This window comes from Homo sapiens, chromosome 17 (genome assembly GCF_000001405.40).
Source record: "Homo sapiens chromosome 17, GRCh38.p14 Primary Assembly".
In the NCBI taxonomy this organism is placed as follows: domain Eukaryota; kingdom Metazoa; phylum Chordata; class Mammalia; order Primates; family Hominidae; genus Homo; species Homo sapiens.
The window spans coordinates 43245865-43261705 of NC_000017.11; the positions used below are offsets into that span (position 1 = coordinate 43245865).

General features: G+C 55.9%; 1 non-coding gene across 1 annotated transcript; it reads right to left on the reverse strand.

Annotated features, from left to right (window-relative positions):
- Positions 1-5964: 5964 nt before the first annotated feature.
- On the reverse strand, positions 5965-6155 carry LOC124904138 (U2 spliceosomal RNA). Its single transcript, XR_007066011.1, has one exon. It is a non-coding gene; the product is annotated as a U2 spliceosomal RNA (small nuclear RNA).
- Positions 6156-15841: the final 9686 nt, after the last annotated feature.

Here is a 15841-nt window from a genome sequence, read left to right on the forward strand (position 1 = left end):
GCGCTCGCCTTCGCGCCCGCCGTCACCGTCCCACTCTCATCCACATTCAAGTCGCGGTGAGAGCCCCAGCCTCGCTCCTTGCCCCATTCCCTCTGTCTCGTCCACAGCGCTATTGACGCCCTTACACTCTCGGGCTGATTTCTTATTCTCCGCCTTTGAAAAGGGAAATCTTACACCCGTGCTTCTTCCGGCGTTCCCGGGCTTTCATTTCGAATTTGCATGCCCCGCCCTTTCACAGAGGGCGTGGCCTCCGCCGTTGACTCCGCCCCCGGGGCCGCCTCTGCCTGGGGGAGCCGGGGCTCCGCTGGGGGCGACTTCCTTGTTCGTATCGAGCCAGCGAAAAGACAGAACCGGAAGAGACCGGGGGCGAAGGCGACAGGGGTCTGTGGAAGAGACCTGTCGGCGGAGAGCGGTCCACGTTTTCCTGGAGAAAGACGAGGCCCCAGGGCAGGAGCGCGGGCTGCGCTGGGCCTTTACTTCGCCGCCCGCGGGCGGGGAGACCGGCCCCGTACCCGAGGGGACGAGGGGACGAGGGGCCCATGCCCAGTCAGGGAAGCCGAAGGCCTGGAGGGGCTTCCGGGAGCAGGGGCTGGAGTTCCTCTGCCAGGCAGGAGGCTGGCACCAGACACCCGGCAGAGGGAGGCGGCGAGGGCCCAGCAAGGATTCTCCCCAGCCCCTGTGCCTGCGTCTCCTGCGGCTTCTGTGCGCGGACCGTGTCCTGTGCTGTGTAGGGAACGCTGCCTCTCTGCTCGGGACGTGGATTCCTTTCCCCTCCTCCTCGCCTGGCTACTTCTGACGCAGGTCGTCAGGACTCCGCTTGGGTGTCACCCGTGCAGGAAGCCTCCCTTAGTCAAGGGCCCTCGGCACCCGCCCCATATGTGACTAGCAGCCCTCCTGTGTATTTCATCGCGCCCCCGTTGTTTATATCAGCCATTCCACTCACCACCCTTCTGGGCAACCCTTTATCTCCCGCTCTGAAATCCCATCGCTGAGGGCTGGGACCCCTCCTCAGTGCTTATCCCTGTTTCCCCGCGCGAGTCTGGCGCCTGGCGTGTGGAAGGCGCTCAGTAAACGTTTGTGGAGCGAAGAAACGACGCAAAGGTGATGAGCACGACGCAGTTAGGAGGCTATTGGCCCGGCGCGGGGGAAAAAGGGGAAGGTCGGGCTCGGGGTGGCAGGACCCCAGAGGGCAGGGGTGGCTGCCGGGGTGCTCTTGGGGCAAGGTGGGCGTCAAGGCCCCCAGCAAGGTTGGGATAAAGTTTCTCTCCGAGGCACAGACTGCCGCCTGCGGGCTCAGCATTTACCTCTCCCTTCCTCCTTCCTAACGCAACTTCAGCGGAGGGCTGAGGGCTCTACTGCGCATTACCTGGAAAACTTATTTCACTCCACGGCCCTAAGAGGTGGGCCTTATTATTAGCCACGGCCAGGGTTAGGGTGAGGCCACTCCTCCAGGGCAGAATTTCAGGGGGTGCCCAACCCCCCGCCCTAAATCATTCAGCAATCAACATAAATTATAGTTCAACGCAATGTATCTTATCTTGTGGGCCGCAAGCCACCCAGGTGCCCAGGCAAGAGCCTGAAGGCACAAGCTGTTCCAGTACAGCGAAGAAAATAATTAGAATAAGAAAAGTTTTACTAGAGATAGGAAACGGATAGGATTATATCTGACTATTATTAATCATTAGTTTGTAGCATCACTCTTTGTTCTATTACCATAATGATCTCTGTTCTATTATGATTACCTTGGGGAAACCAGGCCACACAGAGTTAGGAGCTGAAGGGCCACAGTGAGAGGTGACCAGAAGACGAGAGTGTGAGCCCTCATTCACGCCCAGAGAAGGGCCGCTGGAGGCTCCTTGGCTAGCGGTAATGCCAGTGCCTGGGAAGGCCCTGGTTACTTAGCAGGCCTTGGTCTAGCGGTGGCCCAGTGCCTGGGAAGGCACCCGTTACTTAGCAGACCCGGAAAGGGAATCTCCCTCTCTCCAGGGGAGACAGAGTCAGACGCTCCACCACCTCTTGTGGGAGGTCTGACATTAGCCAGGCCGGCCCGCAGTCATCCGGAGGCTCCAACGTCTGTCTCCCTGTGATGCTGTGCTTCAGTGGTCACGCTCCTTGTTCACTTTCATGTTCAGCCTGTACACCTGGCTCCTCCTTTTAAGTTCTTAGAAGACAGCAGTAGCAGAACTAGTAGGAGTACCACAGTCTTCGATCTTTCTGATAAGTGCATAGAAGAAACGCTGACGTTTGCTGTCCTCCCTCTCCACCTCGGCTACCACAAAGGGAAAGGCCCCCTGTCCAGTGCACACGTGACTCGCGTGACCTATCGATCATTGGAGATGACTGGCACTCCTTACCCTGCCCCCTTGCCTTGACTACAATAAATAGCAGCGCCTCCAGGCACTCGGGGCCACTACCTGTCTGTCTCCGCGCTTTGGTGGCAGTGGTCCCCCGGGCCCAGCTGTCTTTCTTCCTATCTCTTTGTCTTCTGTCTTTATCTCTTCGATCTCTCGTCTCCGCACACACGCGAAGAGAAAACCCACAGACCCGGTAGGGGTGGACCCTACATTATCTCAGCTACAACATAATCAGGATATTCACGTGGACTACTGAGTCTTTCGGTGCCCCCTTGCTGTTTTAGTTTTGTCCTGCGGCCGAGTGTTTCCCTCGCTTCACGCCAACACAATCTCCGCCGCCCTGTCTTGTCATCCCCATTCTACAGCCCAGCACGGTGTAGTATGGCAGCCGCTAGCCACAGGTATCTAGGGAGCCCTGGAAATGTGGTCAGTTCTAATGGAGCTGCGCTGTTAAGTGTGAAATACACGTGGGATTTTGACGGCAGTGGGAGCAAAATTCTCCCAATTTTTTTTTTTTTTTTTTTTTTTTTCAGACGGAGGTTCCGCTCTTGTTACCCAGCCTGGAGTCCAATGGCGCGATCTAGGCTCTCTGCAACCTCCGCCTCCCGGGTTCAAGCGATTCCCCTGCCTCAGCCTCCCGAGCAGCTGGGACTACAGGCATGTGCCACCACGCCCGGCTAACTTTGTATTTTTAGTACAGATGGGGTTTCTCCACGTTGCTCAGGCTGGTCTCCAACTCCCGACCTCCGGTGATCTGCCCAGCTGCCGCCTCCCAAAGTGTTGCTTGCGATTACAGGCTTGAGCCACCGCTCACCCTGGCTTTTTTTTTTTTTTTTCCAGACAAACTCTCGCTCTGTCGCCCAGGCTGGAGTGCAGTGGCGCGATCTCGGCTCACTGCAGCCTCTACCTCCCGGGTTCCAGCGATTCTCCTGCCTCAGCCTCCTGGGTAGCTGGGATTACAGGCGCAGGCCACCACGCCCGGCTAATTTTTGTATTTTTAGGGGGTTTCGCCATGTCGGCCAGGCTGGTCTCGAGCTCCTGACCTCAGGCGATCCGCCCGCCTCGGCCTCCCAAAGCGCTGGGATTACAGGCGTAAGCCACCGCGCCGGGCTCTTTCATTCTGTCTTTATTTTCTGAGATAGAGTCCTGCTCGGACGCTCAGGTTGGACTGCAACGGCGTGATCTCGGCTCGCTGAAACTTCCGCCTCCCGGGTTCAAGCGATTCTCCTGTCTCAGCCTCCCGAGTAGCTGGGATTATTGACGGCAGCACCACGCCCGGCTACTTTTTGTGGTTTTTGTATCTTCTGTCTTCTGCTCTTTAGTACCGCATAGAGCCGCAGAAGACTAGCGAGTCGAACAAACGGCCCCTCTTGCAGCAGTTGTTGATCACGGGCTGCCCCCCGGTACTCATCCTGTGTCTCTCGTCCAAATCCCCGCTCCTCCTCAGCTATCACCTCTGCCGATGCTGGTGGTTTCCCTGGGTACCGGGAACCAAACTCTCATTCCCCAGCGCTAAGCCCCCCGTGCCAGGCCCTTCTCAAGTCAGGGTTCCTGCACATTCACAGTTACGGTGGCCCTGGGAGTAACACCTGGCACCCAAACAGGTCACCAGAGTCCACACATAGTCCACCTGCCCTCCCTGCGTAAGATCAGCTCTTCCTCCTCCCGACGATAGATCAGGGTCAATGATCCCTGCCAAGATGGCGACTGCTCCAGCCTGCTGGTCCAACCTGTCCAGCCACAGCTGTTGCTCGAAGGCTTGAAGTTCAATGGGACCCTCTCCCGCTTTCTACAAACTGGTTCCTTTATTTTTATGTTTATTTATTTGGGACGGGGTCTGGCTCTGTCACCCAAGGCTGGAGTGCAGTGGTGCAATCACTGCTCACTGCAGCATCCACCTCCCAGCGTCCACCCATCCTCCTGGCCTCAGCCTCCGGAACAGCTGGGGTACAGGTACGCCCCAGCCCGAACAGGTTTTCACTAGGTTGCCTGGGCTCTTTCTTTCTTTGTCTGTGTTTGTTTGTTGGTTGGTTGGTTGGTTGGTTGGTTTTTGTTTGTTTGTTTCGAGACGGGGCTCCGGCTCTGCCGCCGGGGGCTGCAGTGCAATGGCGCGATCTCACCTCACTGCGGCCTTCTGGGCTCAAGCGATCCTCCCACTGTGCCCGGCCTGAAGACAGCCTTTAGAGAAAGAAGCAGGGGGAGTTCTTCCGAGGACAGACAAGATTTCTGGAGTTTGGAAAGGGTGAGAGACTGGGTCAGCGAAAGGAACATTCCGGTCTTTATGTTGGGATGCAACGTATAGATACAGGGATGAGACCCAAAAGAGCCGGCAGAGGTTTGTCATCGTGCTCGCAAGGCAACTGCCGGTGGCTGATCCCGTAAAGGATACACATACCTAGAGCGGAGCCTAAAGATGCATCCAGCATGACGGGTGGAGCCACGATGCTTGGACTCGACTCTGCTCCTGTGCGTTCCGTGATCAATGGCTTATACTACCTGCACCTCAGTTTTTCCCGGGCAAAAAAGGAAGCTTGCTGCCGGTGCGTTGGCACCTGCCTTAAAGTGCCAGCTACTCAGCGGGCTGAAGAGGAAGAAGTTCCTACTAGGAAGACACGTGGACACGTATGTTTACTGCAGCACTATTTACAATAGCAAAGACTTGGAACCAACTCGAATGCCCATGAATGATAGGCTGGATAAAGAAAGTGTGGCACGTATACAGCATGGAATTACTACGCAGCCATAAAAAAGGATGAGTTCATGACCTCTGCGGGAACGTGGATGAAGCTGGAAGGCCTCATTCTCAGCAAACTGACACAGGAAGCGAAAACCAAACACCGCATGTTCTCGCTCCTAAGTGGGAGTTGAACAGCGAGAACACATGGGACACAGGGAGGGGAACATCACACGCCGGGCCCTGACGGGGCGTGGGGGGCAAGGGGAGAGAGAGCATTAGGACAAATAGCCAACGCATGCGGGGCTTCAAACCTAGACGACTGGTGGATAGGTGCAGCAAAGCACCGTGGCACACGTGTACCTATGTTCCAAACCTGCACGTCCTGCACATGTACCCCAGAACTTGGGAGGGGGTGGGGGAAACCAAAAGAGCGAGGGAGAGGCGGGGGGGGGAAAGAGAGAGAGAGAGGGAAAGAGAGAGAGAGACAGAGAGAGGAGAGAGAGAGTGAGAGAGAGAGAGAGAGAGAGAGAGACAGAGAGAGAGACAGAGAGACAGAGACAGACACAGAGAGACGGAGAGACAGAGAGAGAGAGAGAGAAAGAGAGAGAGAGAGAGAGAGACAGGAGAAAGAAGAACTCCGGGTGGGTCCCATTCCTTTAAAAGGTCGCCACCCACTCGACTGCCAAGCTGAGATCCTAAGGACCTCCCCAAAGGAGGAGGTCGTGGCCTTCCCAAAGCGCAGTAGCCACGGTGGAAACGAAAGCGTGCCACATAAGCCTACCGTCTACCGCCCGCACATCAGGAACCTCACGGTACTTCAGGGAAGCAGTTAAGTCAAGCCGGCGCGTCACAGGCACTCGGCGTGCAAGCCGCCCCGCAGGTGCTACCGTCTCTTACCTCCCTCTACTTTTAGGAAACACGTTGTATCCCCGGAGGGGGTGCACCGTTCCTGGAGGTACTGCAATACCAGGTCGATGCGTGGAGTGGACGGAGCAAGCTCCTATTCCATCTCCCTGCTCCAAAAATCCATTTAATATATTGTCCTCGGATAGAGGACGTATCAGATATTAAACTGATAAGAACAGATACTACACTTGATCTTAGCCAAAAGGCCGAGAAGCGATGCGCTCGCCTTCGCGCCCGCCGTCACCGTCCCACTCTCATCCACATTCAAGTCGCGGTGAGAGCCCCAGCCTCGCTCCTTGCCCCATTCCCTCTGTCTCGTCCACAGCGCTATTGACGCCCTTACACTCTCGGGCTGATTTCTTATTCTCCGCCTTTGAAAAGGGAAATCTTACACCCGTGCTTCTTCCGGCGTTCCCGGGCTTTCATTTCGAATTTGCATGCCCCGCCCTTTCACAGAGGGCGTGGCCTCCGCCGTTGACTCCGCCCCCGGGGCCGCCTCTGCCTGGGGGAGCCGGGGCTCCGCTGGGGGCGACTTCCTTGTTCGTATCGAGCCAGCGAAAAGACAGAACCGGAAGAGACCGGGGGCGAAGGCGACAGGGGTCTGTGGAAGAGACCTGTCGGCGGAGAGCGGTCCACGTTTTCCTGGAGAAAGACGAGGCCCCAGGCAGGAGCGCGGGCTGCGTGGGCCTTTTACTTCGCCGCCCGGGTAAGTAACCGGGCCCCGTACCCGAGGGGACGGGGGAACCCCCAGCAAGCTGGATAAAGTTCTTTCCGAGCACAGACTGGCGCCTGCGGGCTCAGCATTTACCTCTCCCGTCCTTCCCTAACGCAACTTCAGCGGAGGGCTGAGGGGCTCTACTGCGCATTACCTGGAAAACTTATTTCACTCCACGGCCCTAAGAGGTGGGCCTTATTATTAGCCACGGCCAGGGTTAGGGTGAGGCCACTCCTCCAGGGCAGAATTTCAGGGGGTGCCCACCCCCCCGCCCTAAATCATTCAGCAATCAACATAAATTATAGTTCAACGCAATGTATCTTATCTTGTGGGCCGCAAGCCACCCAGGTGCCCAGGCAAGAGCCTGAAGGCACAAGCTGTTCCAGTACAGCGAAGAAAATAATTAGAATAAGAAAAGTTTTACTAGAGATAGGAAACGGATAGGATTATATCTGACTATTATTAATCATTAGTTTGTAGCATCACTCTTTGTTCTATTACCATAATGATCTCTGTTCTATTATGATTACCTTGGGGGAAACCAGGCCACACAGAGTTAGGAGCTGAAGGGCCACAGTGAGAGGTGACCAGAAGACGAGAGTGTGAGCCCTCATTCACGCCCAGAGAAGGGCCGCTGGAGGGCTCCTTGGCCTAGCGGTAATGCCAGTGCCTGGGAAGGCCCTGGTTACTTAGCAGGCCTTGGTCTAGCGGTGGCCCCAGTGCCTGGGAAGGCACCCGTTACTTAGCAGACCCGGAAAGGGAATCTCCCTCTCTCCAGGGGAGACAGAGAACGCTCCGCTCCACCACCTCTTGTGGGAGGTCTGACATTAGCCAGGCCGGCCCGCAGTCATCCGGAGGCTCCAACGTCTGTCTCCCTGTGATGCTGTGCTTCAGTGGTCACGCTCCTTGTTCACTTTCATGTTCAGCCTGTACACCTGGCTCCTCCTTTTAAGTTCTTAGAAGACAGCAGTAGCAGAACTAGTAGGAGTACCACAGTCTTCGATCTTTCTGATAAGTGCATAGAAGAAACGCTGACGTTTGCTGTCCTCCCTCTCCACCTCGGCTACCACAAAGGGAAAGGCCCCCTGTCCAGTGCACACGTGACTCGCGTGACCTATCGATCATTGGAGATGACTGGCACTCCTTACCCTGCCCCCTTGCCTTGACTACAATAAATAGCAGCGCCTCCAGGCACTCGGGGCCACTACCTGTCTGTCTCCGCGCTTTGGTGGCAGTGGTCCCCCGGGCCCAGCTGTCTTTCTTCCTATCTCTTTGTCTTCTGTCTTTATCTCTTCGATCTCTCGTCTCCGCACACACGCGAAGAGAAAACCCACAGACCCGGTAGGGGTGGACCCTACATTATCTCAGCTACAACATAATCAGGATATTCACGTGGACTACTGAGTCTTTCGGTGCCCCCTTGCTGTTTTAGTTTTGTCCTGCGGCCGAGTGTTTCCCTCGCTTCACGCCAACACAATCTCCGCCGCCCTGTCTTGTCATCCCCATTCTACAGCCCAGCACGGTGTAGTATGGCAGCCGCTAGCCACAGGTATCTAGGGAGCCCTGGAAATGTGGTCAGTTCTAATGGAGCTGTGCTGTAAGTGTGAAATACACGTGGGATTTTGACGGCAGTGGGAGCAAAATTCTCCCAATTTTTTTTTTTTTTTTTTTTTTTTTTCAGACGGAGGTTCCGCTCTTGTTACCCAGCCTGGAGTCCAATGGCGCGATCTAGGCTCTCTGCAACCTCCGCCTCCCGGGTTCAAGCGATTCCCCTGCCTCAGCCTCCCGAGCAGCTGGGACTACAGGCATGTGCCACCACGCCCGGCTAACTTTGTATTTTTAGTACAGATGGGGTTTCTCCACGTTGCTCAGGCTGGTCTCCAACTCCCGACCTCCGGTGATCTGCCCAGCTGCCGCCTCCCAAAGTGTTGCTTGCGATTACAGGCTTGAGCCACCGCTCACCCTGGCTTTTTTTTTTTTTTTTCCAGACAAACTCTCGCTCTGTCGCCCAGGCTGGAGTGCAGTGGCGCGATCTCGGCTCACTGCAGCCTCTACCTCCCGGGTTCCAGCGATTCTCCTGCCTCAGCCTCCTGGGTAGCTGGGATTACAGGCGCAGGCCACCACGCCCGGCTAATTTTTGTATTTTTAGGGGGTTTCGCCATGTCGGCCAGGCTGGTCTCGAGCTCCTGACCTCAGGCGATCCGCCCGCCTCGGCCTCCCAAAGCGCTGGGATTACAGGCGTAAGCCACCGCGCCGGGCTCTTTCATTCTGTCTTTATTTTCTGAGATAGAGTCTCGCTCGGACGCTCAGGTTGGACTGCAACGGCGTGATCTCGGCTCGCTGAAACTTCCGCCTCCCGGGTTCAAGCGATTCTCCTGTCTCAGCCTCCCGAGTAGCTGGGATTATTGACGGGCAGCACCACGCCCGGCTACTTTTTGTGGTTTTTGTATCTTCTGTCTTCTGCTCTTTAGTACCGCATAGAGCCGCAGAAGACTAGCGAGTCGAACAAACGGCCCCTCTTGCAGCAGTTGTTGATCACGGGGCTGCCCCCCGGTACTCATCCTGTGTCTCTCGTCCAAATCCCCGCTCCTCCTCAGCTATCACCTCTGCCGATGCTGGTGGTTTCCCTGGGTACCGGGAACCAAACTCTCATTCCCCAGGGGCCCTAAGCCCCCCCGTGGCCAGGCCCTTCTCAAGTCAGGGTTCCTGCACATTCACAGTTACGGGTGGCCCTGGGAGTAACACCTGGCACCCAAACAGGTCACCAGAGTCCACACATAGTCCACCTGCCCTCCCTGCGTAAGATCAGCTCTTCCTCCTCCCGACGATAGATCAGGGTCAATGATCCCTGCCAAGATGGCGACTGCTCCAGCCTGCTGGTCCAACCTGTCCAGCCACAGCTGTTGCTCGAAGGCTTGAAGTTCAATGGGACCCTCTCCCGCTTTCTACAAACTGGTTCCTTTATTTTTATGTTTATTTATTTGGGACGGGGTCTGGCTCTGTCACCCAGGCTGGAGTGCAGTGGTGCAATCACTGCTCACAGCAGCATCCACCTCCCAGCGTCCACCCATCCTCCTGGCCTCAGCTCCGGAACAGCTGGGGTACAGGTACGAGTAGCATACTAGTAGGAGTACCACAGTCTTCGATCTTTCTGATAAGTTGTTTCAGCTTGCGCTGACGTTTGCTGTCCTCCCTCTCCACCTCGGCTACCACAAAGGGAAAGGCCCCCTGTCCAGTGCACACGTGACTCGCGTGACCTATCGATCATTGGAGATGACTGGCACTCCTTACCCTGCCCCCTTGCCTTGACTACAATAAATAGCAGCGCCTCCAGGCACTCGGGGCCACTACCTGTCTGTCTCCGCGCTTTGGTGGCAGTGGTCCCCCGGGCCCAGCTGTCTTTCTTCCTATCTCTTTGTCTTCTGTCTTTATCTCTTCGATCTCTCGTCTCCGCACACACGCGAAGAGAAAACCCACAGACCCGGTAGGGGTGGACCCTACATTATCTCAGCTACAACATAATCAGGATATTCACGTGGACTACTGAGTCTTTCGGTGCCCCCTTGCTGTTTTAGTTTTGTCCTGCGGCCGAGTGTTTCCCTCGCTTCACGCCAACACAATCTCCGCCGCCCTGTCTTGTCATCCCCATTCTACAGCCCAGCACGGTGTAGTATGGCAGCCGCTAGCCACAGGTATCTAGGGAGCCCTGGAAATGTGGTCAGTTCTAATGGAGCTGTGCTGTAAGTGTGAAATACACGTGGGATTTTGACGGCAGTGGGAGCAAAATTCTCCCAATTTTTTTTTTTTTTTTTTTTTTTCAGACGGAGGTTCCGCTCTTGTTACCCAGCCTGGAGTCCAGTGGCGCGATCTAGGCTCTCTGCAACCTCCGCCTCCCGGGTTCAAGCGATTCCCCTGCCTCAGCCTCCCGAGCAGCTGGGACTACAGGCATGTGCCACCACGCCCGGCTAACTTTGTATTTTTAGTACAGATGGGGTTTCTCCACGTTGCTCAGGCTGGTCTCCAACTCCCGACCTCCGGTGATCTGCCCAGCTGCCGCCTCCCAAAGTGTTGCTTGCGATTACAGGCTTGAGCCACCGCTCACCCTGGCTTTTTTTTTTTTTTTTTCCAGACAAACTCTCGCTCTGTCGCCCAGGCTGGAGTGCAGTGGCGCGATCTCGGCTCACTGCAGCCTCTACCTCCCGGGTTCCAGCGATTCTCCTGCCTCAGCCTCCTGGGTAGCTGGGATTACAGGCGCAGGCCACCACGCCCGGCTAATTTTTGTATTTTTAGGGGGTTTCGCCATGTCGGCCAGGCTGGTCTCGAGCTCCTGACCTCAGGCGATCCGCCCGCCTCGGCCTCCCAAAGCGCTGGGATTACAGGCGTAAGCCACCGCGCCGGGCTCTTTCATTCTGTCTTTATTTTCTGAGATAGAGTCTCGCTCGGACGCTCAGGTTGGACTGCAACGGCGTGATCTCGGCTCGCTGAAACTTCCGCCTCCCGGGTTCAAGCGATTCTCCTGTCTCAGCCTCCCGAGTAGCTGGGATTATTGACGGGCAGCACCACGCCCGGCTACTTTTTGTGGTTTTTGTATCTTCTGTCTTCTGCTCTTTACTACCGCATAGAGCCGCATAAGACCCCCCAGCAAGGTGGGATAAAGTTTTCTCCGAGGCACAGATCTGGCCCTGCGGGCTCAGCATTTACCTCTCCCTTCCTCCTTCCAACGCAACTTCAGCGGAGGGCTGAGGGCTCTACTGCGCATTACCTGGAAAACTTATTTCACTCCACGCCCTAAGAGGTGGCCTTATTATTACCACGGCCAGGGTTAGGGTGAGGCCACTCCTCCAGGGCAGAATTTCAGGGGTGCCACCCCCCCGCCCTAAATCATTCAGCAATCAACATAAATTATAGTTCAACGCAATGTATCTTATCTTGTGGCCGCAAGCCACCCAGGTGCCCAGCAAGACCTGAAGGCACAAGCTGTTCCAGTACAGCGAAGAAAATAATTAGAATAAGAAAAGTTTTACTAGAGATAGGAAAACGGATAGGATTATATCTGACTATTATTAATCATTAGTTTGTAGCATCACTCTTTGTTCTATTACCATAATGATCTCTGTTCTATTATGATTACCTTGGGGGAAACCAGGCCACACAGAGTTAGGAGCTGAAGGGCCACAGTGAGAGGTGACCAGAAGACGAGAGTGTGAGCCCTCATTCACGCCCAGAGAAGGGCCGCTGGAGGGCTCCTTGGCCTAGCGGTAATGCCAGTGCCTGGGAAGGCCCTGGTTACTTAGCAGGCCTTGGTCTAGCGTGGCCCCAGTGCCTGGGAAGGCACCCGTTACTTAGCAGACCCGGAAAGGGAATCTCCCTCTCTCCAGGGGAGACAGAGAACGCTCCGCTCCACCACCTCTTGTGGGAGGTCTGACATTAGCCAGGCCGGCCCGCAGTCATCCGGAGGCTCCAACGTCTGTCTCCCTGTGATGCTGTGCTTCAGTGGTCACGCTCCTTGTTCACTTTCATGTTCAGCCTGTACACCTGGCTCCTCCTTTTAAGTTCTTAGAAGACAGCAGTAGCAGAACTAGTAGGAGTACCACAGTCTTCGATCTTTCTGATAAGTGCATAGAAGAAACGCTGACGTTTGCTGTCCTCCCTCTCCACCTCGGCTACCACAAAGGGAAAGGCCCCCTGTCCAGTGGACACGTGACTCGCGTGACCTATCGATCATTGGAGATGACTGGCACTCCTTACCCTGCCCCCTTGCCTTGACTACAATAAATAGCAGCGCCTCCAGGCACTCGGGGCCACTACCTGTCTGTCTCCGCGCTTTGGTGGCAGTGGTCCCCCGGGCCCAGCTGTCTTTCTTCCTATCTCTTTGTCTTCTGTCTTTATCTCTTCGATCTCTCGTCTCCGCACACACGCGAAGAGAAAACCCACAGACCCGGTAGGGGTGGACCCTACATTATCTCAGCTACAACATAATCAGGATATTCACGTGGACTACTGAGTCTTTCGGTGCCCCCTTGCTGTTTTAGTTTTGTCCTGCGGCCGAGTGTTTCCCTCGCTTCACGCCAACACAATCTCCGCCGCCCTGTCTTGTCATCCCCATTCTACAGCCCAGCACGGTGTAGTATGGCAGCCGCTAGCCACAGGTATCTAGGGAGCCCTGGAAATGTGGTCAGTTCTAATGGAGCTGTGCTGTAAGTGTGAAATACACGTGGGATTTTGACGGCAGTGGGAGCAAAATTCTCCCAATTTTTTTTTTTTTTTTTTTTTTTCAGACGGAGGTTCCGCTCTTGTTACCCAGCCTGGAGTCCAATGGCGCGATCTAGGCTCTCTGCAACCTCCGCCTCCCGGGTTCAAGCGATTCCCCTGCCTCAGCCTCCCGAGCAGCTGGGACTACAGGCATGTGCCACCACGCCCGGCTAACTTTGTATTTTTAGTACAGATGGGGTTTCTCCACGTTGCTCAGGCTGGTCTCCAACTCCCGACCTCCGGTGATCTGCCCAGCTGCCGCCTCCCAAAGTGTTGCTTGCGATTACAGGCTTGAGCCACCGCTCACCCTGGCTTTTTTTTTTTTTTTTCCAGACGGAGGTTCCGCTCTTGTTACCCAGCCTGGAGTCCAGTGGCGCGATCTAGGCTCTCTGCAACCTCCGCCTCCCGGGTTCAAGCGATTCCCCTGCCTCAGCCTCCCGAGCAGCTGGGACTACAGGCATGTGCCACCACGCCCGGCTAACTTTGTATTTTTAGTACAGATGGGGTTTCTCCACGTTGCTCAGGCTGGTCTCCAACTCCCGACCTCCGGTGATCTGCCCAGCTGCCGCCTCCCAAAGTGTTGCTTGCGATTACAGGCTTGAGCCACCGCTCACCCTGGCTTTTTTTTTTTTTTTTTCCAGACAAACTCTCGCTCTGTCGCCCAGGCTGGAGTGCAGTGGCGCGATCTCGGCTCACTGCAGCCTCTACCTCCCGGGTTCCAGCGATTCTCCTGCCTCAGCCTCCTGGGTAGCTGGGATTACAGGCGCAGGCCACCACGCCCGGCTAATTTTTGTATTTTTAGGGGGTTTCGCCATGTCGGCCAGGCTGGTCTCGAGCTCCTGACCTCAGGCGATCCGCCCGCCTCGGCCTCCCAAAGCGCTGGGATTACAGGCGTAAGCCACCGCGCCGGGCTCTTTCATTCTGTCTTTATTTTCTGAGATAGAGTCTCGCTCGGACGCTCAGGTTGGACTGCAACGGCGTGATCTCGGCTCGCTGAAACTTCCGCCTCCCGGGTTCAAGCGATTCTCCTGTCTCAGCCTCCCGAGTAGCTGGGATTATTGACGGGCAGCACGATCATTGGAGATGACTGGCATACCTTACCTGCCCCCTTGCCTTGACTACAATAAATAGCAGCCCTCCAGGCACTCGGGGCACTACCTGTCTGTCTCCGCGCTTTGGTGGCAGTGGTCCCCCGGGCCCAGCTGTCTTTCTTCCTATCTCTTTGTCTTCTGTCTTTATCTCTTCGATCTCTCGTCTCCGCACACACGCGAAGAGAAAACCCACAGACCCGGTAGGGTGGACCCTACATTATCTCAGCTACAACATAATCAGGATATTCACGTGGACTACTGAGTCTTTCGGTGCCCCCTTGCTGTTTTAGTTTTGTCCTGCGGCCGAGTGTTTCCCTCGCTTCACGCCAACACAATCTCCGCCGCCCTGTCTTGTCATCCCCATTCTACAGCCCAGCACGGTGTAGTATGGCAGCCGCTAGCCACAGGTATCTAGGGAGCCCTGGAAATGTGGTCAGTTCTAATGGAGCTGTGCTGTAAGTGTGAAATACACGTGGGATTTTGACGGCAGTGGGAGCAAAATTCTCCCAATTTTTTTTTTTTTTTTTTTTTTTTCAGACGGAGGTTCCGCTCTTGTTACCCAGCCTGGAGTCCAATGGCGCGATCTAGGCTCTCTGCAACCTCCGCCTCCCGGGTTCAAGCGATTCCCCTGCCTCAGCCTCCCGAGCAGCTGGGACTACAGGCATGTGCCACCACGCCCGGCTAACTTTGTATTTTTAGTACAGATGGGGTTTCTCCACGTTGCTCAGGCTGGTCTCCAACTCCCGACCTCCGGTGATCTGCCCAGCTGCCGCCTCCCAAAGTGTTGCTTTCGATTACAGGCTTGAGCCACCGCTCACCCTGGCTTTTTTTTTTTTTTTTTCCAGACAAACTCTCGCTCTGTCGCCCAGGCTGGAGTGCAGTGGCGCGATCTCGGCTCACTGCAGCCTCTACCTCCCGGGTTCCAGCGATTCTCCTGCCTCAGCCTCCTGGGTAGCTGGGATTACAGGCGCAGGCCACCACGCCCGGCTAATTTTTGTATTTTTAGGGGGTTTCGCCATGTCGGCCAGGCTGGTCTCGAGCTCCTGACCTCAGGCGATCCGCCCGCCTCGGCCTCCCAAAGCGCTGGGATTACAGGCGTAAGCCACCGCGCCGGGCTCTTTCATTCTGTCTTTATTTTCTGAGATAGAGTCTCGCTCGGACGCTCAGGTTGGACTGCAACGGCGTGATCTCGGCTCGCTGAAACTTCCGCCTCCCGGGTTCAAGCGATTCTCCTGTCTCAGCCTCCCGAGTAGCTGGGATTATTGACGGGCAGCACCACGCCCGGCTACTTTTTGTGGTTTTTGTATCTTCTGTCTTCTGCTCTTTAGTACCGCATAGAGCCGCAGAAGACTAGCGAGTCGAACAAACGGCCCCTCTTGCAGCAGTTGTTGATCACGGGGCTGCCCCCCGGTACTCATCCTGTGTCTCTCGTCCAAATCCCCGCTCCTCCTCAGCTATCACCTCTGCCGATGCTGGTGGTTTCCCTGGGTACCGGGAACCAAAACTCTCATTCCCCAGGGGCCTAAAGCCCCCCCGTGGCCAGGCCCCCTGTGGAAGGCGCTCAGTAAACGTTTGTGGAGCGAAGAAACGACGCAAAGGTGATGAGCACGACGCAGTTAGGAGGCTATTGGCCCGGCGCGGGGGAAAAAGGGGAAGGTCGGGCTCGGGGTGGCAGGACCCCAGAGGCATGGGGTGGCTGCAGGGGTGCTCTTGGGGCAAGGTGGGCGTCAAGGCCCCAGCAAGGTTGGGATAAAGTTTCTCTCCGAGGCACAGACTGCCGCCTGGGCTCAGCATTTACCTCTCCCTTCCTCCTTCCTAACGCAACTTCAGCGGAGGGCTGAGGGCT